We start from the raw sequence: 25,177 nt of genomic DNA on the forward strand, positions 1-25,177 counted from the left end.
TATTTATTTATTATTATTATTTTTTTTTGAGATGGAGTCTCGCTCTGTCACCCAGGCTGGAGTACAGTGGCACAATCTCGGCTCACTGCTACCTCCACCTCCTGGGTTCAAGCGATTCTCCTGCCTTAGCCTCCCGAGTAGCTAGGATTACAAGCACCTGCCACCCTGCCCAACTAATTTTTGTATTTTTAGTAGAGATGGAGTTTCACCATGTTGGTCAAGCTGGTCTCAAACTCCCGATCTCAAGTGATCTGCCTCAGCCTCGCAAAGTGCTAGGATTACCGGTGTGAACCACTGTGCCCAGCCAGAATTTATTCTTACAGAAATTCTCAAACTTTGATCTCAGGTTGCCAAAGAGATTTGTAACAATAAACCAACTACATTTTAACATAAACAATACATTTAAAGAAAAATAACCATATTTTCCAAAACAAAAGAGTTAGAAGAGTAGCATTATTTTACATTTTTGTAAGTAGCTTTAATATCTGGCTGAATGGAAATTGGATTCTAATACATGCTTTTTCCATTCAATCTGTTAAGATATATTGTTTTGGCTAAAGTATCTGAAGAAAATAAGGCTTTATACAGGTATATAATTGAAAAGGGAGAGTATTTTAATAACCTTTTCAGATGATGGTGAATATTCTCTGATATCACACCAGAACTCAAGGGGGCTGGGCGCCGTGGCTCATACCTGTAGTCCCAGCACTTTGGGGGGCTGACGCAGGAGGATCACTTGCGCCCAGGAGTTCCAATACCAGCCTGGGCAACGTAGGGAGACCCTATCTCTTTAAAAATTATCCAGGCATAGTGGTGTGTGCCTGTGGTCCCAGCTACTAGGGACTGAGGCAGGAGACTTGCCTGAGCCTGAGGGGTTATGGCTGTGGTGAGCTGTGTTCGTGCCACTGCACTGTAGCCTGGCCGACGGTGAAATCTTGTCTTAAATAAATTAAATAAATAAGGAGTTTTGAGCTGGGTGTGCTGGCGCATGCCTGTAGTCCCAGCTACTTGGGAGGCTGAGGCAGGAGGATCACTTGAGCCCAGGAGTAGTTTTTTTGTTTTTTGTTTTAGCCTGGCCAGTGTGGTGAAACCCCGTCTCTACTAAAAATACAAAAATTGCTGGGCGCGGTAGCTCACGCCTGTCATCCCAGCACTTTGGGAGGCCGGGGCGGGTGGATCACCTGAGGTTGGGAGTTTGAGACCAGCCTGTCCAACATGGAGAAACCCCATCCCTACTAAAAATGCAAAATTAGCTGGATGTGGTGGCACATGCCTGCAATCCCAGCTACTCGGGAAGCTGAGGCAGGAGAATCTCTTGAACCCGGGAGGCGGAGGTTGTGGTGAGCCATGATCGCAACATTGCACTTTAGCCTGGGCAACAAGAGCGAAACTCCGTCTCAAAAAAAAGATAAAAAAATTAGCCGGGCATGGAGGCACGCGCCTGTAGTCCCAGCTACTCAGGAGGCCGAGGCAGAAGAATCTCTTGAACCCGGGAGGCGGAGGTTGCGGTGAGCCGAGATCGCGCCACTGCACTCCAGTGTGGGCGACAGAGGAGGACTCCGTCTTTAAAAAAAAAAAAAAAAAAAAAGAGTTTCTTTTATCCCTTCTATTTTCAGTTTCAGAAGTGAATGATATTAGAATATATGTTCAATCGAGCATCTTAATAAAACTCTTGAATAAATTTAGAGTAACATCTGTGAAACCTTTTTACTCTGCATATGGAAATTTAAAATAATTCTAATAGACACTTAAAGTATATTTGTTTATATATTATTTCTTATGTCCTAGACAAAACCTAGTATAATATTTATATGAAAATATGTATCATTACGTGTTTTGGTAATTCAGGAATGTTGATGTAGGAGTTTAGGGGCCTACATTTTAATTTGAACACTGACACCTTACTAGCTTTGCTTTCCGGAGCAAAGCAGTGTTTCTCTCTAAGAATCGATTTCTTCACAATAGGGACAATAATGCCTATATTTCATAGGATTGTTATTTCATTTACTCTCCACAGCATGTGAAGCCCTATCACAGAACTTGGCATAAAGTAGTCACTAAAAAATATTTTTCTCTTCAGTCTCTCCTGGCTACCTTCCCTTTCCTTCTGGTCGGCATTGGTAACATCTAGGTTCTCTAGACCTTGGATTTTTCATCTGAATGGGATGGTTGTAGTCCCTTTAAATAATTCTACAATTTAGGGGAAGTAGTGACAAAATGTAATGTAGAGATATACTGAAGGTAGTATGAAACTCAAGAGAGAGGTAAATGCTGGAAATATAGATTTGGGTATTATCAGCAAATTTATTTTAATTGAAACCATGTTGGTTGGTGAGACTGCCCAGGAACATGGGAGACTATATGATATTTTGAAATAATGAGTATAATAGTTTATGATTTCTTCTTAATGCTCACATTTATTTGAATACAGCAAGGAATATATGGTGTTCAATTTTGATTAAAATGAGTATCTTGATTTCAATGATATTTATTTGAAATTTTCAAAATTCACAGGTTGCATATGGCCAAGTCCTTGGAGTTATAGGATATTCATTACTTCCTCTCATTGTAATAGCCCCTGTACTTTTGGTGGTTGGATCATTTGAAGTGGTGTCTACACTTATAAAAGTAAGTTAAGGATTATGTATTACATAGTTTACTGTTTTCCAATGTCAAAAGTATACTAGGCCTCTAGCTAGGAATATTGTGATATAAAACTCTTTATCAAACAGTTGGTAGTATTTTGGAAGTGACCTTCCTTACTGATTTTGCCAGTTATATTTCTTTCATTTTTTTTCCTTTTTAATCACCAGATATTACTGTTTGTCTGGGGGAAAAAACAAAGAGCAAATCAGGTTTCAGGATATTATAGTCAGATTTTTGTTTTGTTTTCTGGAGTCTCGATCTGTCACCAAGGCTGGAGTGCCTCCCAGGTTCATGTGATTCTCCTGCCTCAGCCTTCCTAGTAGCTGGGACTACATGTGTGTGCCACCATGCCTGGCTAATTTTTTGTTTTTAGTAGAGATGGGGTTTCACCATGTTGGCCAGACTGGTCTTGAACTCCTGACCTCAGGTGATCTGCCTGCCTTGGCCTCCCAAAGTGCTGGGATTACAGGCATGAGCCACCACACCCGGCCTGGTCAGCATTTTTCTTTTTCTTTCTTTCTTTTTTTTTTTTTTTGAGACAGAGTCTTGCTCTGTCGCCCAGGCTGGAGTGCAGTGGCGTGATCTCAGCTCACTGTAACCTCTGCCTCCTGGGTTCAAGCCATTCTTCTGCTTCAGCCTCTCATGTAGCTGGGACTACAGGTGCGCACCACCACACCTAGCTAATTTTTGTGTTTTTAGTAGAGACAGGGTTTCACCGTATTGTCCAGGCTGGTCTCGAACTCCTGACCTTGTGATCCACCCGCCTCAGCCTCCCAAAGTGCTGGGATTACAAGCGTGAGCCACTGCTCCCGGCTGGTCAGCATTTTTTAAATGTTGGATTTAAAATTTATTTTCTGTATTTATAATATGAGTTCATCTGACAGATTTTGAGGGGGATATTTATTTAAAATTCCACTGGACATTTATTTAGTAACTGCTACTCCTGTTTGAATAGTAACTTTCCTATCAAATATGATAGATGTGGTTCTAATAAATTGGATTTTCCGTAGTGCAGAGATCAGGACTTCTTTGTGTTATTTATGTTAAATCAACATATATACATATATTTAAATATTTACTGATAAAAGTATTAATAAATAGTAGTGTAACTTAAACATTGGAATTTATTAATGTCGAACAACTTTGGGAAATAAATGACTGCTTTGACACATATATGTATATTACACAGTGAATATAAGTTTGTTCTTTATGGAGAACAGAACTTTTAAAGACTGTGACTTTCAGAACTGCTGTTATGTAGCTTCCACATGAAAGTATTTGTTTTTAAGTAGCTGAGCCACTTGAAATTATTACTAATTTCAATATAAAAGAAATAATGATTCCTTTTAGAATTTGGAAACTATACGCTGATACTGATAATAAGCATTGGGAATCGAAAATGTGTGGTTTTTGGAACTAATCAGTTCTAAATTCAAACCCTGGTTCTGCCACTTACTTGCTGTCTGGTCTTCCGAGGTATCTTAACTTTTCTTACCCTCAATTTGTTCTTAACAATGGTAAACTTAACTATATTTTAGGGTTCGTTACAAAGAGTTTATATATAATGCTGATCAGGCATGGTGGCTACCGCCTATAATCCCAGCACTTTGGGAGGCTGAGGCGAATGGATTACTTGAGCTCAGGAGTTTGAAATCAATCAGCCTGGGCAACGTGGCGAAACTCCATCTCTACAAAATTTAGCCAGGTGTGGTGGCGGGTACCTGTGGTCCCAGTTCCTTGGGAGGCTGAGGTGGGAGGATTGCTTGGGCCCATGAGGCCGTGGCTGTAGTGAGCCATGATTGCACCACTGCACTCCAGCCTAGGTGACAGAGTGAGACCCTGTCTCTGCCTAGTACAGTGCTTGGCACAGAGTAGGCACTCAAGCTGTTGTTATTACAAATATTATAAAATAGGCCAGGTATGGTGGCTTACTGTTGTAAATCCCAGCAGTTTGGCAGGCCGAGGCAGGTGGATCAGTTGAGCCCAGTTCGAGACTCAACCATTTCTCCAAAAATACAAAAATTAGCCGGGCATGGTGGCATGCACCTGTTAGTCCTAGCTACTCAGGAGGCTGAGATGGGAGGATCGCCTGAGCCCAAGAGGTTGAGGCTGCAGTGAGCAGTGATCGTACCATTGTACTCCAGTGTAGGTGACAGTGAGACCTTGTCTCAATAAAAACCCAAATTGTAATATTTTGAGATCATCTTTGTGTTTAAATACTTCAGAGACTAAAGATACCTTGTTTTCCTATTCAGTATAACCCTAAAGCCTTTTTTTGAAATTGGCATTATTAGAACTTAGTTTAAAGTCTTAACGTTGCAGCAGACATTTAATTATTCCTATTCCAGCCTTAGTGAACATACCACTCACTTACCATCATTTCCTGGTGTGTGTTTTTTCACTTGGGTTAAGCTTGTTTCTGAGACTACTCCCAAAATGGTTAAAACTATTGTTCTGTGGTCATCTTTAATCATATAGTTATCTTAAAGTTGGACCTAAATATTCTTTATACAACATATAAATGTATTATAAAATGGAAAACTCTTTTTTATATCATTAAAAATTTAGAGTAAAATTGTTTTTAAACTTCAGATTATTCTTTGCCAAAATTTTTTTCCTGATCATTTAATCTTCTGTGAGTAGTGAGCTATTTCACGTTTCTTATTTCAGTCTGAGTTTTGTTGAGAAATATGATGCGAAACTAATCAGTAAACTCCAGCATTAGAGTATATAGTTTAAGTGCAGTGATTTTATTTAACATTAAATCTCTGTAATACTTATCACTCTGTAAGCATTTATAATGAAAAAAATCTAATCATGAAATACAAATGCAGTTTGATCAAATTTTATTTTATATATTTCCCTGTACTTTTGTGTATGTTTGAATTATTTCATAGGGTTACTTTTTTTTTTTTTAAGTTCAACAAACCCAGTGGAAAGATGGACCAGACCAAATACATTTTTAATAAGTTTGCCAATATTTATTTTTTACCTGTATACCAGTGATTCTCAACTGAGGTAGATTTTGTCCCCCAGGGGACATTTGTCAACATCTGGAGGCATTTTTGAGGAGTGTGACTAGTATATAGTGTGTAGAGAGCAGGAATGCTGCTAACCATCCTACAATGCACAGGATAGCTCCCCACAGCCAAGAAGTACGCAGCCTAAAACGTCAATATTGCAAGGTTTAGAAACTCTGCCTTGTGCCAGGTCTGTTCCTATTAGAGTTTCCCTGAATTTCCTTGAAGTTTTTCCTTAATTTTATGCTATAAAATGTGTTAGGTGACTACATCAATAAGTATTGCATAAGTTTCCAGTAGAAATAATTTAAAAGTATGTATGTATGTGATCCAAAAACTATAGTATACTTTATTTAAACTCTTGACAAAATGTGATCTTTTTATCTCCTTTTTATTCAACCCTGTATTTCTGCCTATTCCTGGGAAAAAACTTAATAAATATTAAGACTTAATAAATATTGTATAAAATTTTTACTTAATCGATTTTCTTATTTAGAAGGAAAAGGAAAATTTCCTACTTTGCAGGAATTAGTTTTCTCTCAGTAATTTGGTATAATAATAGTTTTTTCAAAAGTTGCCTAATCATAATCACCAGGGAACTTATTTAAAATACTGATAACTAGATCCTTCCCTTAGAAATTATAGCTCAAAGAAAAAGAAACAATAAGTTATAATTTAACAGAACTAGAGAGTCCCCCAAGTCTTTTTAATAGGCACCCCAAGTGATTCTTATGATTAGACTGGTTTGATAAGACCACATTTACAGAAGTCAAGGAGTAGAGCAAAGATGGACATTCTTAATAAGTTTTTAACATTTGTAACAAGTTTTACTATTTACCAAAATTGGTTGTTGATTTTTTAAAAATATTGTAAACACCATTTTTACTCTATGATATCCAAAAAGTTAATTGACTTGCTAATATGCTGCCTTTTGTCTTTTTTCCTTTTTTTAAAGCTGTTTGGTGTGTTTTGGGCTGCCTACAGTGCTGCTTCATTGTTAGTGGGTGAAGAATTCAAGACCAAAAAGCCTCTTCTGATTTATCCAATCTTTTTATTATACATTTATTTTTTGTCGTTATATACTGGTGTGTGATCCAAGTTATACATGAATAGAAAAAGATGGTGTTAAATTTGTGTGTAGGCTGGGAATTCTTGCTGAAGGAATTGGAGAAAACCTGTTGCTGCAAAATTTTACATGTTCCAGATGGAAAGGGAAGTCTAAGCGCTTTTTAAAACAATTTTTTTTTGTATTTAATTAAGCAATTGCAGTTATCTGGGATTTTTGGGTCAGAATTTTAAATTCTGTTTGATTCTCCATATTCCAGTGAATAAAATACAAAAGCATTGTGTTTTTAAGATTGTGTCGATATTCACCTAAAAACTTGTGCCAAAAGCACCTGGATTGGTAATTATATTTCACTTAAAGGGTAAATTTGACAATATCTTGATAATCAAAAGTGCAATTTTTTTCTTCAAAATGTTTTCTCCAGCATCACAGATCCTGCAGATATATATTTATATTTATACATATATATTTATGAAATAATTCTTACTCACAAAATATATTTCTGATAAACATTAAGATATTAAATCTGATGCACAAACTTTTTAATTTGGCCATTAATCTTTTTTATTTAAAAATTTAAATTTGTTTTTAAAATTGTATATAGTTTTTAAAATCTCACACATGCTTCGATACTTCCTTGTTAAGAATTCTTAATAACTACTAAAACTGATTTTTAATAGTTGCTGATATATATTTGGTTTGTTTGGGTATACTTTTCAAAACCATTTTTGAATGTCCAAACATCTGATTTAAAGTTTCTGTTTATCTTTCTGACCAAAGGAGCAAGAGGTATAATGGATATGGCATTCATTAAAATCTTTACTATGTACAAAAACAGTAATATTTACAGCATCAGTAAATATTTTTAAGTGGTACTTCTAAATCATAAAAGTTGGGGAAAGAGACCTTTAAAATCTTGTGGTGTTGAACAATGTTATATGAAGTAGAAAAAATAAAATACTTCCCAGTTGTGTGTTTTGTTTTACAGCACCATGTCCTGTATTACTTGATATTTTAACAAGTATCAGGTACTCTCTAACAAATGTACAGTTTTTGCTAAGGGAAATATTAAGAAATTTTTATCAGTGAAATATTTGTTGCAAATAATTTCATAGGTTTTTAGATACACCTGTAGTTAATATTACTTTGTAAAGTAGGTAAATCATTTTATTTATGTCCATAAAATATCAAATGTCTGTTAACTATTAGCAAATTATTGTATTATCCTTTCTGGTCTCACCTGGAAGAGTTTCCTGCTGTCCTCAGTATGATAACATGGCGACCTCTTGGTATGTATTTCTTTAGCAAACTTACCCATCAGGAAATATCCAGCACCTCTGAAGCAAACCTACAAATGAGTGTGTTATCAAGCCCAGCCGTCTTCCTTTCCCCTAATCCCAAAAGGAAAGAAAGAAAAACTTATTTTAAGCTGCAGAAAAAGTGTGGAGCACTTTTGAGCTAGAATAATGTAGAAAATTACATGTACTGATTTTTTTAAAAACAGGTGAGAAGCACCAGAGGGACAGGACTTCTAGAAGTTAGAATAATATGAAGTAATCAGGAAATATCTATGCCTACAGAAGCAGCAACCGTAAGATAAACATTTGTTACACTTAAGAAATTGCTGAGGTTAATACTTTGTTATAATGGATTATAATATTTGACATTCATAGTGTTGACCCTGGAATCTTTCACAGAAAGCTTGGGGGTCAGGACCAGGAGGTAGAATTTTACAAGGCAATAAATGAAGGTATTTTAAGATCACCTCTATTAAAAAATGGTTTAATTTTTAAAAACTATCATTGCTTTAAGGTATGAATTTTAAAAATCACTTATATGGATCATGTTTACTCCTAATGATATAAGATAAAATGAGGTATTTTTGTTCCAAAAAGTATTTTAAAATAGCATTTAATCTTGGGAACTATCTTACTTAGGGTTTCTATAAATACAAATTACAATGTTTCGAACTCAACCAGTATCATTTTCGTGTGCTAATGAGCAAAGTAGTTAGAACAGATTGTCAGTTTAAAAACAGGATTTGTAGGCCAGGCACAGTGGCTCACGCCTGTAATCCCAGCACTTTGGGAGGCCAAAGTGGATGAGCAGCTTGAGTCAGGAGTTTGAGACCAGCCTGGCCAACATGGCGAAACCCCGTCTCTACTAAAAATACAAAAATTAGCCGGGCGTGGTGGCAGGCGCCTGTATAATCCCAGCTACTCAGGAGGCTGAGGCAGGGAGAATCGCTTGAACCCTTGGAGGTGGAGGTTGCAGTGAGCCAAGATTGTGCCATTGCACTCCAGCCTGGGTAACAGAGCAAGACTCTCTCAAAAAAAAAAAAAAAAAAAAAAAAAACCATGATTTGTAGATGTGTGCAAGACACAGTACTGCTATGGCTAATAATGGTAAGATGACCCTAATAATGTCCTCTCCTTGAATTTTTATATAATAATATTTTCTGAGTCATAACTAATTTTTTAAATAATGATTTCCAATCTAATTATTAATTAGAATTTTGTTGTTGTTGTTTGAGACAGAGTCACTCTGTCACCCAAGCTGGAGTGCAATGGCACGATCTCGGCTCACTGCAAGCTCTGCCTCCCGGGTTTGCACCATTCTTCTGCCTCAGCCTCACGAGTAGCTGGGACTACAGGCGCCCACCACCATGCCTGGCTAATTTTTTGTATTTTTAGTAGAGATGGGGTTTCACCGTGTTAACCAGGATGGTCTCGATCTCCTGACCTCGTGATCCGCCCGCCTCAGCCTCCCAAAGTGCCGGGATTACAGGTGTCAGCCACCGCACCAGGCCAGTTCATTAGAATTTTTAAAACAGGCTGGGCATGGTGGCTTACGCCTGTAATCCCAGCAGTTTGGGAGGCCGAGGCAGGTGGATCACCTGAGGTTGGGAGTTTGAGACCAGCCTGACCAATGTGGAGAAACCCCATCTCTACTAAGAATACAAAATTAGCCAGGCATGGTGGTGCATACCTGTAATCTCAGCTACTGGGGAAGCTGAGACAGGAGAATTGCTTGAACCCAGGAGGCAGAGGTTGCGGTGAGCTGAGATCGCGCCATTGCACTCCAGCCTGGGCAACAGGAGTGAAACTCCATCTCAAGAAAAACACAAAATACAAAACAAAACAAAACAAAAAAACAGAACTGGGCCGGGCGCGGTGGCTCACGCCTGTAATCCCAGCACTTTGGGAGGCCGAGGCGGGTGGATCACGAGATCAGGAGATCAAGACCATGGTGAAACCCCGTCTCTACTAAAAATACAATAAATTAGCCGGGCATGGTGGCGGGCGCCTGTAGTCCCAGCTACTTGGGAGGCTGAGGCAGGAGAATCGCTTGAACCCGGGAGGCAGAGGTTGCAGTGAGCCAAGATCGTGCCACTGCACTCCAGCCTAGGTGACAGAGTGAGACTCCGTCTCAAAAAAAAAAAAAAAAAAAATCAAAATCTATATAATTAAGCATTGTTTTTTAAAAAGTAGTTTAGGAAGATTTGTAAAGCTTATGAACCATTGTAAAACCTTATTTCTAAGGTCTGTAAGACAGTTTTATATGTAATAATGTGTCCATTTCCAGGAATTCCCCAAATACTCATACAGCCATTGAGCACCCCAATCCAAAATTCAGAATGCTTCAGATAAGAACATTTTTGAGTGCCGATGTGACACTTTAAAGGAAATGTTCATTGGAGCATTTTGCATTTCAGATTTTTGGATTAGGAAAACTCAACCACTGTATTTCTGCACATATTCCAAAATCTGAAAAAGTCTGAAACCTGAGAAACTCTGGTCCCAAGCATTTTGGAAAGGGTATACTCAATCTGTATTAACATAGACTTCTAAATTAGTGAAAATTTGCATTGAATTAAAATGTGAAGTAAATATTTTTGTTTAAATATTGTTTAAAATTTAGTCATTTAAAAATTTTGTGATGTAACAAAATGTTGAATGAAATAATGCTTCTACAACTTAAAATTATTTTTCATAGTGAACAAAACTAGTTGAATACTTCTAAATATTCATTTTTGTTAGTGCACATTTTATCCAGTTTTAGGCTTTAGGGAATTGTGACCCTTTTTTTTTTTTTTTTTTTTTTTTTGGAGACGGAGTCTTGCTCTCTCGCCCAGGCTGGAGTGTGTGGCGCAATCTCAGCTCACTGCAACCTCTGATTCCTGGGTTCAAGCAATTCTCATGTCTCAGCCTCCCTAATAGCTAGGATTACCGGTGCCCGCCACCACGCCCAGCTAATTTTTTAAATTTTTAATGGAGACAGGGTTTCACCATGTTGGCCAGGCTGGTCTTAAACTCCTGACCTCAGGTGATCCACCCACCTTGGCCTCCCAAAGTGCTGGGATTACAGGCTTAAGCCACCGTGCCCGGCACTTTTGTTTTTAAAATAATATCTTACTTTCATATGATTCTTTCAGACTGTGGTATGGCATTCTGAAGCAAGTCTTAACAGAGCTAAAAATCACCCTTACCCAATTCTCTGCACTGACATATGTACACAAAGTAATATTTTATTATTCTCCTTCATAAATGGTTTCTTTAATTGAACCTTTGAGCCTTATACTATTTTTAAATTTCCCTTTAAAAATTGAATTACAGCCAGGCATGGTGGCTCATGCCTGTAATCCCAGAACTTTGGGAGGCCATGGCAGGAGGATTGCTTGAACCCAGGAGTTGTAGACCAGCCTGGGCAAGATAGCGAGATCCTGCCTCTGAAAAAATCATAATAATACTTTAATTTAGAAAATACCCTGAATTAGAAGTGCTTCATTCCTCATTTGTGTACAGCTGTTCCTCTATATACGAAGGGGATTGGTACCAGAACCACTGCATACCAAATTCCACCCATACTCAAGTCTCACAGTCTTCCCTGCAGAATCCAAGTATACAAAAAGTAGGCCTATCATTTATATGGGTTTTGCATCCTGACAGTACTGTATTTTCAATCCTAGTTTGTTTGGGAAAAAAAAATTGTTTGTATGCCTGGGTACAGTATCATACCTGTAATCCCAGCACTTTGGAAGGCTGAGGCGGGAGGACTGTTTTGTGGCCAGGAGTTCAAAATCAGCCTGGTCGACGTAGTGAGACCCCATCTCTACAAAAGAAAAATTAGCTGGGCATGTGGCACCTGCCTGTGGTCCCAGCTACTCAGGAGGCTGTGAGGCAGGAGAATTGCTTGAGCCTGGGAGGTTGAGGCTGCAGTGAGCCGCGATCACACCACTGCATGCCAGCCTGGGCGACAGAGTGAGACCCTGTCTCAGAAAAGAAAAAAAAAGTAAAAATTGCATGTAAGTTGACCCGCACTATTCAAATTTGTGGTGTTCAAGGTTCAACTGTAATTTCCTAGCAGCATTTTGTGTGTTTGAGAATCTCTTGACACTCTTCAAGTAAATCCCTAAATTACAACTTTGACATCAAAAAAGCTAGACATTCCTACATTTTTGCACTACAATACATAAAAACTCCCATGCTGATCGGTTGTGGGATCGTGCCTGTGAATAACCACTGCACTCCAGCCTGGGCAACATAGTAAGTAAGACCTTGTCTCTTAAAAAAAATACATTCTGAAGAAAGTTCTACTTATGAATACATTTTATTTATAACAAACTGGTGAAAATTTTAGACCAAACCATGTCTTTCTGGGTTGTAGTGATTAAAAAATGGTTAAGAGAATGTTCCCTATACAAGGCATATGTTATTAAACATGAAATTTAGGATTAGTTTTCTCTTTGAAAATTCTTTTGATATGCTGAGGTTACAGTTTGGAGGTTACATTAGAGAAAGAATATAGGGAAGATGGCAGTGGTAAAACATTTCCCTGCTTTACATTTTTATATTGGCAGTATCTTGGTTTCAACTTTTCTATTTTCAGCAAGATATTTGCAAGTTTTTACTTTGAAGATGTTTGGTTTATAGTAGTCCATGCTATACTAATGCTGTTGCTGAGATAATTAAGTTAGATACTAATATGAAAAAGAATATTTGTGTAAAATATTTTGAAGTTGTAATTAGTGTATATACAAGTTGTTAATACTTACGAAAAAAGGAAGCATTCCCACCTGTAATAATTTTGTTAACACTAGACTATCAGTAAATTATCAAGAATAAAAACCTTGGTTTTTCTGTAATATTTGCCACTGAGCAATTTTTATTAAAAACCAAACAGAAGTATTTACACAAGAACAAGTGAAATTACACAAAATGATAATGGGGAGAAATTTCTCATCTGGTGATAAAGGGAAAAAGATAATGTAAAAGCAGATTGCTGCTATTTGCATAATAAGCACTTGTTGAAGAATAAATGATTAAGTTCAATATTTTTGCTCTATTTTATACCTACTCACTTTGGTGGAATTAGTTCTCCATGTAAAGTATCTTTTTAATAGTAAGCACCATTTAATAATGAAACAACTCATATGTTTTGTAATCCTTATGGAGAATTACTTCATGTGATAATTATAGTCTCTTCATGGAAAACAGTAAAAATACTCACGTTTATGATGATGGGCCTAGGTACTAAATTCCTCATTCAATCTTTTTTTACCAAATGGTACTTAATAAAATCTTTTACCTTATAAAAATCTATTTTCGGCCAGGCGCGGTGGCTCACGCCTGTAATCCCAGCACTTTGGGAGGCCGAGGTGGGCGGACCACGAGGTCAGGAGATCGAGACCATCCTGGCTAACACGGTGAAACCCTGACTCTACTAAAAATACCAAAAATTAGCCGGGCGTGGCAGCGGGCGCCTGTAGTCTCAGCTACTCGGGAGGCTGAGGCAGGAGAATGGCGTGTACCCGGGAGGCGGAGGTTGCAGTGAGCCGAGATCGCGCCACTGCACTCCAGCCTGGGCGACAGAGCGAGAATCCGTCTCAAAAAAAAAAAAAAAAAAAAAAAAAAAAAAAATTATTTTCAAAGGATTGTGCTAGTGGTGGCCTGAATAATAAAACATTGAGAAGAAACAGCCTTTGAATTTGGCACCCTGAATGTGAAGGGACAATAGATATTAATCACATATTTATTAACCCCTTCCTGTATGAACCTAGTACTGTGCTGAGTGTAGGGATACAGTGATAATGCAAAAAAGACCCCCAATAGGCCGGGCGCGGTGGCTCACGCCTGCAATCCCAGCACTTTGGGAGACCGAGGCGGGTGGATCACGAGGTCAGGGGATCGAGACCATCCTGGCTAACACGGTGAAACCCCGTCTCTACTAAAAATACAAAATTTAGCCGGGCGTGGTAGCAGGCGCCTGTAGTCCCAGCTGCTTGGGAGGCTGCGGCAGGAGAATGGTGTGAACCCGGGAGGCGGAGCTTGCAGTAAGCAGAGATCGCGCCACTGCACTCCCGCCTGGGTGACAGAGCGAGACTCTGTCTCAAAAAAAAAGACCGCCCCCCCCAATATACACACACCCTGACTTTAATGAGCTTATTTTGCTGGGGACTCAGCCAATTAATTTCACAAATTGTAAAACTATTTCAAGAAATGAGAAAAAGAGGCCTGTGGTGGTAAGCAAGTATATAAAAGAAGCCTTCCTTGAAGCAACGATGCTTAAGCTGAAATCTTAGGGAAAAATAAAAGTTAACTAGGCAAAGAAGGTAGGGAAGACTCTTTCAGATAGAATCGCAGTTTGTGAGTTTGCTTGGGGAAAAAAATTTAAAAATATAAAAAGAAAACCAGTTTGAAGTTTAGTGGTTAATGAAATTGAACAGGTATGTCAGCACCATACCTGACATTCTAGGCCATTCTTTCTTTGTCAGAGCTTTTTTGTTGAGATGGAGTCTCGCTGTCTCGCTGAGGCTGGAGTGCAGTGGTGCAATCTCGGCTCACTGCAACCTCTGCCTCCCAGGTTCAAGTGATTCTCCTGCCTCAGCCTCCCAAGTAGCTGGGATTACAGGTGCCCATCACCACACCCGGCTAATTTTTTTGTTTTTAGTAAAGACGGTTTCTCCATGTAGGCCAAGCGGGTCTTGAACTCCCAACCTCCGGTGATCTGCCCACCTCAACCTCCCAAAGTGCTGGGATTACAGGCGTGAGACACTGTGCCCAGCCTGTCAGAGCTTTTGAGTAGAAATACGGTATCAGAAATGTGCTTTATTTTATTTTATTAGACAAAGTCTTGCTCTGTTGCCAGGCTGGAGTGCAGTGGCGCGATCTTGGCTCACTGCAACCTCTGCCTTCTGGGTTCAAGCGATTCTCCTGCCTCAGCCTCCCGAGTAGCTGGGATTACAGGCACCCACTGCCACACTCGGCTAATTTTTGTATTTTTAGTAGAGACGGGATTTCACCATGTTGGTCTCGAACTGCTAACCTCAGGTGATCTGCCCGCCTTGGCCTCCCAAAGTGCTGGGATTATAGGCATGAACCACTGCGCCCAGCCAGAAACGTGCTTTTAATACTAAAGGCCAAGATATGCAATTATACTCTTGACATATATTCAACCGAAATGCATGTACATGTACCATAAGAGACATATGTACAAGAATGTGCACAGTTAACATTATTCAAATAGCCAAAAACGGGAACATGTCCATCAACACAGAATAGACAAGTTGGTATAATTACACAATGGAATCTTATGCAGCAATGAAAATAAATGAACTAAAGCCGCATACAAAAACATGAAGAATTTCACAAGTATTATGTTGAGTGAAAAAGACAAAGAATTTGTACTGTATTACTTCATTTATATGAAGTTCAAACACAGGCAAAATTAAGCTATAGTGTTTAGGGATGCATACTGAAATGCAGTCTTTTAAAACAGCTTTAGAATTCCTTGGCCAGGTGCGGTGGCTTACGCCTGTAATCCCAGCTCTTTGGGAGGCAGAGGCTGGCAGATCACCTGAGGTTGGGAGTTTGAGACCAGCCTGACCAACATGGAGAAACCCCATCTCTACTAAAAATACAAAATTAGCTGGGCGTGGTGTCGCGTGCCTGTAATCCCAGCTACTCTGGAGGCTGAGACAGGAGAATCGCTTGAACCTGGGAGGTGGAGAGTGTGGTGAGCTGAGATGTCACCATTGCACTCCAGCCTGGGCAAGAAGAGCAAAACTTCGTCTCAAAAAAAAATAAAAAAATAAGGCTCCAAGCGCTGTTGTGAGGGTTAAATGAACTAGATAATTAATGTAATAAACAGAATAGTTTTGGCATTCAACAAACATTGGCTGTTATTATATTAGCTATTAAAAATTTAAGTCATTTAGGTCAATGAAACAGGAGGGTTTCCAGAATTATACCCAATTAATTATACATGGGAAGGTGATGAAGGTAGCATGTCAAATTGGTATAAAAAGATGGAATATTAAATAAGTGGGGATACTGTATCAGATAGGAACATATTTGGTTGCAAGAAACAAAAATTCCTGTGATTACTAGCTTCACTGTGAGTTTATTTTTTCACGTAATAAATCCAAGGTTACATAATCCATAACTGATATGGCAGTTTAACAGTGTTATTAAGAACTCAAGGTCCATTTATTGCTCTATTCTGCCATCTTTGGTGAGTGGCTTTCATCCTCATTGTCTCAGAAAAGTTATTTCACCTCTAAGTATTACATCTACATTTCAAGCAGGAAGAAGATGAAGCTTAAGAGACCAAATGGAGCATGTCAGTCAAAGGTGTCCTTATTTAAAATCTCTGGAAGCCCCACTTAGTGGCTTCCATCCATGTCTCATGGGACAGAACTGAATCACATAGCCATCCCTTGCTGTAAGAGAGTTGGGGAAAGTATTTTAAGCTGGGACATCCCAGCCCTGAGTGAAGTCAGGGATCTGTTAGGAAGAATGGATGCTAGGTAGGTAAATGGCAATGTCTGACAAAGACATGGTAGGCCAGTCTGAAAAATGTAAAGCTGGGCTGCGCGCGGTGGCTCACGCCTGAAATCCCAGCACTTTGGGAGGCCGAGGCGGGCGGATCCTGAGGTCAGGAGATCGAGACCATCCTGGTTAACGTGGTGAAACCCCGTCTCTACTAAACATATAAAAAATTAGCCGGGCTTGGTGGCGGGCGCCTGTAGTCCCAGCTACTGAGGCAGGAGAGTGGCATGAACCCGGGAGGCGGAGATTGCAGTGAGCCGAGATCGCGCCACTGCACTCCAGCCTGGGTGACAAGGCAAGACTCCGTCTCAAAAAAAAAAAGAAAAATATAAAGCTGGATCTATACCTCACTCCTTATACCAAAGTACATTACCCTTGTATCAAATATTTTAAAAACTGGAATAAGCTTTTCATATAATCTTTGAGAAGATGGGGCTTTCAAAGCGTTAAATGAAACACAGAAGCCATGGCCAGGCACGGTGGCTCATGCCTGTAATCCCAGCTCTCAGGGAGGCAAGAGGCAGGAGCATAGCTTGAGCCCAGGCGTTCAAGACCTGCCTGGGCAATATAGCGAGACCCCGTTCTCCCCAAAAAGGAAAAAAAAAAAAAAACCAAAAAAAAAAAAAAAGTATAAAGCACAGAAGCGAAAGGAAAAGTGATGAAGACACTTGAAGACCTGTCATTTAAAATGATTCTACAGGAAAAAGATGAACTACAAATTGGGGAAAAATATTTGTAGGACTTATGTAGACAAAGGACTAATTTTCTTAATAAAAACATTTATCAGTAAATTTAAATGGGCAAAGGAAATACTTGGACAATCATATCATGTATGTAATATTAATATTTATAAATCAATAAAATGGGCTAGGGATATAAATCAGCAATTCAAGGGGAGGGTAAAAAGACCAACTAATATATGTAAAGATGCACAAATTCATTCATGATTAAATGTGAATTAACAACGTTGGCCTCTCGGATTCCCAAAACTTTAAAAGATTAATAATATCCAGTATTGGTTGGGATTATAAGCAGATATGATATTTCACTGATAGAGACCAGCATGACTGTCTCAATTGTTAAACTATTGAAATGCATCTGTGTCAATGGTAAATAGTATTATTGTAAGTACAACACTAAAATTAATAAATTGTGTAAATTCTAATATGGATTAATTTGTCTTTTGTGACAACTATTGATAACCTCTTTGTTGTAATGACACCTAAGAAACATTTGTAACATCTGCTAGCTTGGCCTGCATCTTGGTAAATAATGTAGCTGCATTATGTATTACCTATGAAGCATTCCTTGCTGTAACAGTTGCTACTGCTTTTAAATACTTTTAGTCTAGTTTTTTTTTTTTTTTTTCAAGACGGAGTCTCGCTCTGTCGCCCAGGCTGGAGTGCAGTGATGTGATCTCGGCTCACTGCAACCTCCGCCTCCCGGGTTCAAGCGATTCTCCTGCCTCAGCCTCCCGAGTAGCTGGGACTACAGGCTTGTGCCACCATGCCCAGTTAATTTTTGTATTTTTGGTAGAGACAGGGTTTCACCATGTTGGCCAGGTGGTCTCTGTCTCTTGACCTCGTAATCTGCCCACCTCGACCTCCCAAAGTGCTGGGATTACAGGCATGAGCCACCACGCCCGCCCTAGTCTAGTTTTTTATTTGGTTTTACTGTTAGTGCGTTGTAATTCTTAGGTAAAAAGTAAGTAAAGTGGCTGGGCACAGTGGTTCATGCCTGTAATCCCAGCACTTTGGGAGGCCAAGGTGCACCGATCATGAGGTCAGGAGATTGAGACCATCCTGGCCAACATGGCGAAACCCCGTCTCTACTAAAATACAAAAAATTAGCCGAGTGTGGTGATGTGCACCTGTAGTCCCAGCTACTCGGGAGGCTGAGGCAGAGAATTGCTTGAACCTGGGAGGCGGAGATTGCAGTGAGCCGAGATCGCACCACTGCACTCCAGCCTGGTGACAGAGCAAGACTCCATCTCAAAAAAAAAGTAAAGCATTTTCATATTTTAAAATTGAGGAATTTATAACAAATATTTGAAAACAAACACCCCAAAACTGCTTGACACTATTTTCTATCAATGCTGAGTATATATACACCCTATAACCTGGCAACTCATGTTTATCAAGTCATGTATACAGTGCTGTGTAATGGAACTTTCTGTATTAATGAAAATATTCTACATTCTATGCTGTTTGTAAAGCCACTAGTCTCATGAGCACTTGAAATGTGGCTAATCCAACTGAGGAGCTGATTTTCAATTTAATTTTACTTAAAGAGCCACATGTAGCTAATGGCTACTGTACTGACAGCAGTGAGTGTTCATAGCAGTAGCATTCATAATTACAACCATTCATGCCCCAAACTGGAAACCAACGTAGCAAATTATGGTGTATTCACATAATACAATATGTGAAAGATGTATAGCTGCACATAAGAATATGAATGAATCTTGCTCGCCCTGGCATGGTGGCTCACGCTTGTAATCCCAGCACTTGGGAAAGCTAAGGTGGGCAGATTGCTTAGCCCAGGAGTTTGAGACCAGCCTGGGCAACATGGCAAAACCCCGTCTCTACACATACAAAAAAGTTAGCCAGGCATGGTGGTGCATGCACCTGTGGTCCCAATTACTCGGGAGGCTGAGGTGGGAGGATCACCTGAGCCCAGGGGGTCGAGGCTGCAGTGAGCTGTGATCACACCACTGCACTACAGCCTGGGCCACATAGTGAGACCCTATCTCAAAAAAAAAAAAAGAATATGGATGAATCTCAAAAACATAATATTGAACAGAACACAGATACAAAAGAATATACTTTATGATTCTATTAATGTAAAGTACAAAAACAGGATGTTAGTTACCCTTGAGTGGCAAGGAAGTAACTGAAGGAGAGTACAGAGATTTGGGCTTCTAGGATGTTAGCATGTTCTATTTCTTAATCTGAGAGCTAATTACATGGGTGCAGTTAGTCTGAAAAATTTATCAAGCTGTAGACTTATAACATGTACACCTTTCTGAATGGGTATTGTGCTTGAATTAAAAGTTATAAGTTGGAGGTCGGATGCGGTAGCTCACACCTGTAATCCCAGCACTTTGGGAGGCTGAGGCTGGCAGATCACTTGAGGTCAAGACCAGCCTGGCCAACATAGTGAAACCCCGTCCCTACAAAAAATACAGAAATTAGCCAGGCGTGGTGGCACATGCCTGTTATGCTAGCTACTCGGGAGGCTGAGGCAGGAGAATCGCTTGAACCTGGGAGACGGAGGTGGTTGCAGTGAGCCAAGATTGCACCACTGCATTCCAGCTTGGGTGACATAGTAAGAACATGTCTCAAAAACAGGGTATAAGTTGGAAACACACAGAATGAAGTGTCAGCAAAGTGTTGATAAGTTTAGCGTTATTTTAAATGTTGTAAATGTTCATATTTTTATACTATGGAAGAACATGATAATGAACCATAGCTTGGATCATGTCTTGAAACATCCTGAAATCTCTTTTGATACTGTGCAAGAATTAATACAAATAAAACATGATTTTCGTCTCTGAAATGAAAAACATGACACTGTGGCTGGGTGCAGTGGCTCACGCCTGTAATCCCAGCACTTTGGGAGGCAGAGGGGGTGCAGATCACCTGAGGTCGGGAGTCTGAGACCAGCCTGAGCAACATGGAGAAACCCTGTCTCTACTAAAAATACAAAATTAGCCAGGCGTGGTGGCGCGTGCCTGTAATCCCAGCTACTTGGGAAGCTGAAGCAGGAGAATCGCTTGAACCCAGGAAGCAGAGGTTGCAGTAAGCCGATATTGCGCTATTGCACTCCAGCCTGGGCAACAAGAGCGAAACTCCATCTCAAAAATAAAAAAATAAAAAAGAAGAAAAAAGAAAAGAAAAACATGACATTGCAAGTGGTGAAGTGAATGTTAGGTGCTAGCAGTTATCAAAAATTGTGGTGTTCAAAGTGTTAAATGCGTTTTTCATCCAAAAAGCAATCATGTTCATTTAAAACTCATGCTTTAAACAAAGATTTGCAATCATCAGTGAGAAAATTAAGAGGGTATATAAATGTTTCAACAATAAAGAATTTGAAATAGTGACTAAATAGCCTCCCAAAGTGCTAGGATTACAAGCATGAGCCACCTCATATGGCCAAAAATATTTTTAGAAATTTGGCCTTATGAAAATTGTTTTAGCAAAATGTCAATTCTTTGTTTAGGTTTTCAAGAGAATATGTTTTATTCATAAATGAATTTGACAAAAGCTAAAAGTGATTGAACATATAAAACTAAAAGCATGAAAAAAGCAATAATGATTTAAGGAAGTACAATATGGTATTTGAAATAAAATATAGAGCCAAATCCAAAGGAAGTTATTATTATCTAATAAAATGTATGATAGCATTTTGATATATTTCCTTTCTGTGATAGTTAATTTGTTTGTTTGTTTGTTTGTTTGTTTAAGACGGAGTCTCCCTCTGTTGACCAGTGCAGTGGCATGATCTCGGCTCACTGCAAGCTCCGCCTCCCGGGTTCATGCCATTCTCCTGCCTCAGCCTCCCGAGTAGCTGGGACTACAAGCGCCCGCCACCACGCCCGGCTAATTTTTTGTATTTTTAGTAGTGATGGGGTTTCACCGTGTTAGCCAGGATGGTCTCAATCTCCTGACCTGGTGATCCGCCCGCCTCGGCCTCCCAAAGTACTGGGATTATAGGCGTGAGCCACCGCGCCCGGCCTTGTGATAGTTAATTTTATGTGTAAACTTAACTGGGCCACGGATTGCCCATATATATGGTCAAACATTATTCTAGATATGTCTGTGAGAGCACTGTTGGATGAGATTAACATTCAAATTGGTGGCCGGGCGCGGTGGCTCACGCTTGTAATCCCAGCACTCTGGGAGGCTGAGGCGGGTCACGAGGTCGGGAAATCGAGACCATCCTGACTAACACGGAGAAACCCCGTCTCTACTAAAAAATACAAAAAAAATTAGCCGGGCGTGGTGGCAGGCACCTGTAGTCCCAGCTACTCGGGAGGCTGGGGCAGGAGAATGGCGTGAACCCGGGAGGCGGAGCTTGTAGTGAGCAGAGATCGTGGCACTGCACTCCAGCCTGGGCAACAGAGCAAGACTCTGTCTCAAAACAAACAAACAAACACACAAACAAAATTCAAATTGGTAGACAGAGTAGATTGGCCTCCCTAATGTGGGTGGCCCTAATCAGTTGAAGGCGTAAATAGAACAAATAAAAAGCTAATTTACCTCCATGAGTAAGACAGGTTGCCTCCTGCCTGACTGCCTTTGAGCTGATTTTTTTCCTACCTTCAGACTAAACTGAAACATTAGCTCTTCCTGGATTTTGGACCTGTTGGTCTTCAGATTCACACTGAAGTTCTTGGGACTTGTCAGCCTCTATATTCAAGTAAGCCAATTCCGTATAATAAATCTCTTTCTTTCTTTATACATTCCATAGATTCTCTTTCCTTGGATTCACTTTGTCACTAATACACTTTCTATCCTTTTTTCCCTGGGCATAGTCTTAAAATATGGACATTTTTAGATGAGTGACTTTGGTACAATCTTATTATAAGTATACTTTAGTGCATGTTGATTTTCAGAAACCTGTTTAAGAGAAAAATAGAGCTCATTTTAAAGTGAGATAACATGGATAGTCAAAATTATATTACCCTAAGCATTAAAAATAACATAAAAATCTATAAAATTAGCCAGGTGTGATGGCTCACACCTGTTATCCCAGCACTTTGGGAGGCCGAGGTGGATGGATCCCTTGAGGCCAGGAGTTTGAGACCAGCCTGGGCAACCTGGTGAAACCTCATCTCTACTAAAAATACAAACATTAGCCAGGTATGGTGGCACACACCTGTAGTCCCAGCTACTTGGGAGGCTGAGGCAGGAGAATCACTTGAACGGGGGAGGCGGAGGGTGCAGTGAGCCGAGATCACACCACTGCACTCCAGCCTGGGCGACAGAGTGAGACTCTGTCTCCCCCCCAAAAAAAGAAAGAAAATTTACCAAGGAGTAGAATTGCTGGGTCCTAGGCATGTATGTCAATGTAAGTTGCTAAATTGCTCTCCAAAGTGAATACACCAACATCCCTCTTACTAGAAAGTTCCTTTTGCTTCACCAATCCAATGACAATGCTTGGAATTCTCAGAATTCTTAACTTTTGCCAATCTAATGGTATCTCATTATGGTTTTAATGTCCCCAATTACCAATGAATTGGAGCATCTTTTTTAAAATTATTATTTTAAAAAATGTTTTTTCGAGACTGGGTCTCATTCTGGTTTGCCCAAGCTGGAGCACAGTGGCGTGTGTACACACCTGACACACCTGACAGCAACAGCTTGACTGAAGCATACCCTGAGAATGACCCTGTATGGCAGAAGCGCCTGGCAGCAATAACAACCTAAGAAATTAGGGTTGCTATGTGGAGGTTGCTGGGGTGGAGGGTGCTAAGCGAAGGTGCTATATAAACTGCATGCTTTTTACAAGCAGTAGCAATTCTCCTGTCCAGCCCACTGCCGCTGCACTGTCCCTGTATGAAAGTTCCCCCTGGTTAAACCCTATGTCTCCCTTGCTGGCTCTAGGTCTCTTTTTCAGCCTCTTGACCCTTGTGCCATCCCTACTGGAGTCAATAGGGGTCCAGCAGGACAGCATGATCATAGCTCACCGCACTATGGGCTCAAGCAGTCATCCCGCCTCAGCCTCCTACGTAGCTGGGACTATAGACTCATACCACCATGCCCAGCTAATTTTTTTTATTTTTTATTTTTATTTTTGCAGAGACAGGGTCTCACTATGTTGCTTAGGCTGGTTTCTAACTCCTGGGCTCAAATGAGCCTCCTGCATCAGCCTTCCAAAGTACTGGGATTGGCCGGGCACGGTGGCTCATGCCTGTAATCCCAGCACTTTGGGAGGCCGAGGCAGGCGGATCACGAGGTCAGGAGATGCAGACCATCCTGGCTAACACGGTGAAACCCCGTCTCTACTAAAAATACAAAAAAATTAGCCGGGCGAGATGGCGGGCGCCTGTAGTCCCAGCTACTCGGGAGGCTGAGGCAAGAGAATGGCGTGAACTCCAGAGGGCGGAGCCTGCAGTGAGCTGAGATCTCATCACTGCACTCCAGCCTGGGCGACAGCGAGACTCCGTCTCAAAAAAAAAAAAAAAAAAAGCAAAGTACTGGGATTACAGGCAAGAACCACCATGCCCGGCCACATGAATTTTTTCATTTTCATGATACCATTCCCAAAGTTAAGAACATGTGTCTTAGGCCATGTGCAGTGGTTCACACCTGTAATCCCAGCACTTTGAGAGGCCGAAGAGGGCAGATCACCTGAGGTCAGGAGTTCGAGACCAGCCTGGCCAACATGGTGAAACCCTGTCTCTACAAAAAAATTAGCCAGGTGTCATGGCACATGCTTGTAATTCCAGCTGCTTGGGAGGCTGAGGCAGGAGAATCGCTTGAACCCAGGAGGCAGAGGTTGCGGTCAGCCGAGATCGTGCCATTGCACTCCAGCCTGGGCAACAAAAGTGAAACTCCGTCTCAAAAAACAAAAAAAAAGAAAGGAAAAAGAATATATGAATATATGTCTCAGGCCAGATGCAGTGGATCATACCTGTAATCTCAGCACTTTGGGAGGCTGAGGCAGGCGGATCACTTGAGGTCAGGAGTTTGAGACCAGCCTGGCCAACATGGTGAAACCCCATCTGTACTAAAAATACAAAAAGTTATGTCTCATTTGTGTTCAGCTACTTCTTTCTGCTATTACAAAACCTTCCAAAGATAAATTCACACTGGTATCAGAGCAATGTAGTCTTGAGCAAGACAACTGTTTTCCGTATAGATGGTATTAAAAACTTCCCAATATTTTACCGTGAAGTACTTCTTAATTAATTTTAAAGTAATAAATTTTCTTTGGCCTTATCTAAAAATCCATGATCCTGTTTATGTTCCACTTAAAATAATACACTAATTCCCTTGCTTTTCATTAGTAGGTTGAAATTTGAATAAGCAGCAGGAGGTGGAGCCTCAGCTTAGCCTGAGGTGAACAATGAGCACATACAGTGGTTTGCAGGGCAAACCCACTAGAAGCCTATTTCCTGAAAATAGACTGAAAATCCTTGTAGGACTAAACTCATCCTTAGGGAATAGAGCCAGGTACAGCAAGTCTGGTGCAGTTGCAAACCTTTAGTCTTCCAAAGGGAAAATCAATTCTATGTGAAGTCTGTTACTTGGATTTTATATCCAGGCCAGCAGTACACCCTCAGCCCCTTCTTCTCTCCAGGTAGACCACGGTACAAGACATTAAGCTAAAGAACTCAATAGGATTCTTAGGTCATGTAGGATAAACTTCCTTCTCAACCCTTTTATCTTCAAATATTAATGCTAAGAGGGGAGCCTGGAGCTAGACTGCCCATCTTCCAATCTCAGCCTTACCACTTAACCAGGAGACCTTTGCCAAGTTATTTGCCGGGCAGCATTGTAAGCTCTTTTACGTATATTTAAAATTTTTTAATGTTTATTTTAGCTTAATTTCAGTCAGAAATTAACTTCTTCTGAGTCTCAAAACTGAGAACATGAGAGCAATAAAAG

At 40.2% G+C, this 25,177-nt stretch overlaps 1 protein-coding gene across 3 annotated transcripts in view; it reads left to right on the forward strand.

The window, feature by feature from the left end:
* The window catches only part of YIPF4 (Yip1 domain family member 4), a 38,691-nt gene extending 20,964 nt beyond the window's left edge, over positions 1-17,727 (forward strand). For 2 of the 3 annotated variants that reach the window (XM_005264599.4, XM_024453173.2), the window contains 2 exons: positions 2,515-2,628; positions 8,237-8,531. In XM_005264599.4, the coding sequence (XP_005264656.1) occupies positions 2,515-2,628; positions 8,237-8,284 (162 nt within the window). In that variant the 3' untranslated portion in view covers positions 8,285-8,531. Of the gene's footprint in view, positions 1-2,514; positions 2,629-6,621 lie in introns of all 3 variants that reach the window. The other variant, NM_032312.4, reaches the window with a different exon arrangement.
* The last annotated feature ends 7,450 nt before the right edge of the window (positions 17,728-25,177 follow it).

Source organism: Homo sapiens, chromosome 2 (assembly GCF_000001405.40).
Source record: "Homo sapiens chromosome 2, GRCh38.p14 Primary Assembly".
In the NCBI taxonomy this organism is placed as follows: domain Eukaryota; kingdom Metazoa; phylum Chordata; class Mammalia; order Primates; family Hominidae; genus Homo; species Homo sapiens.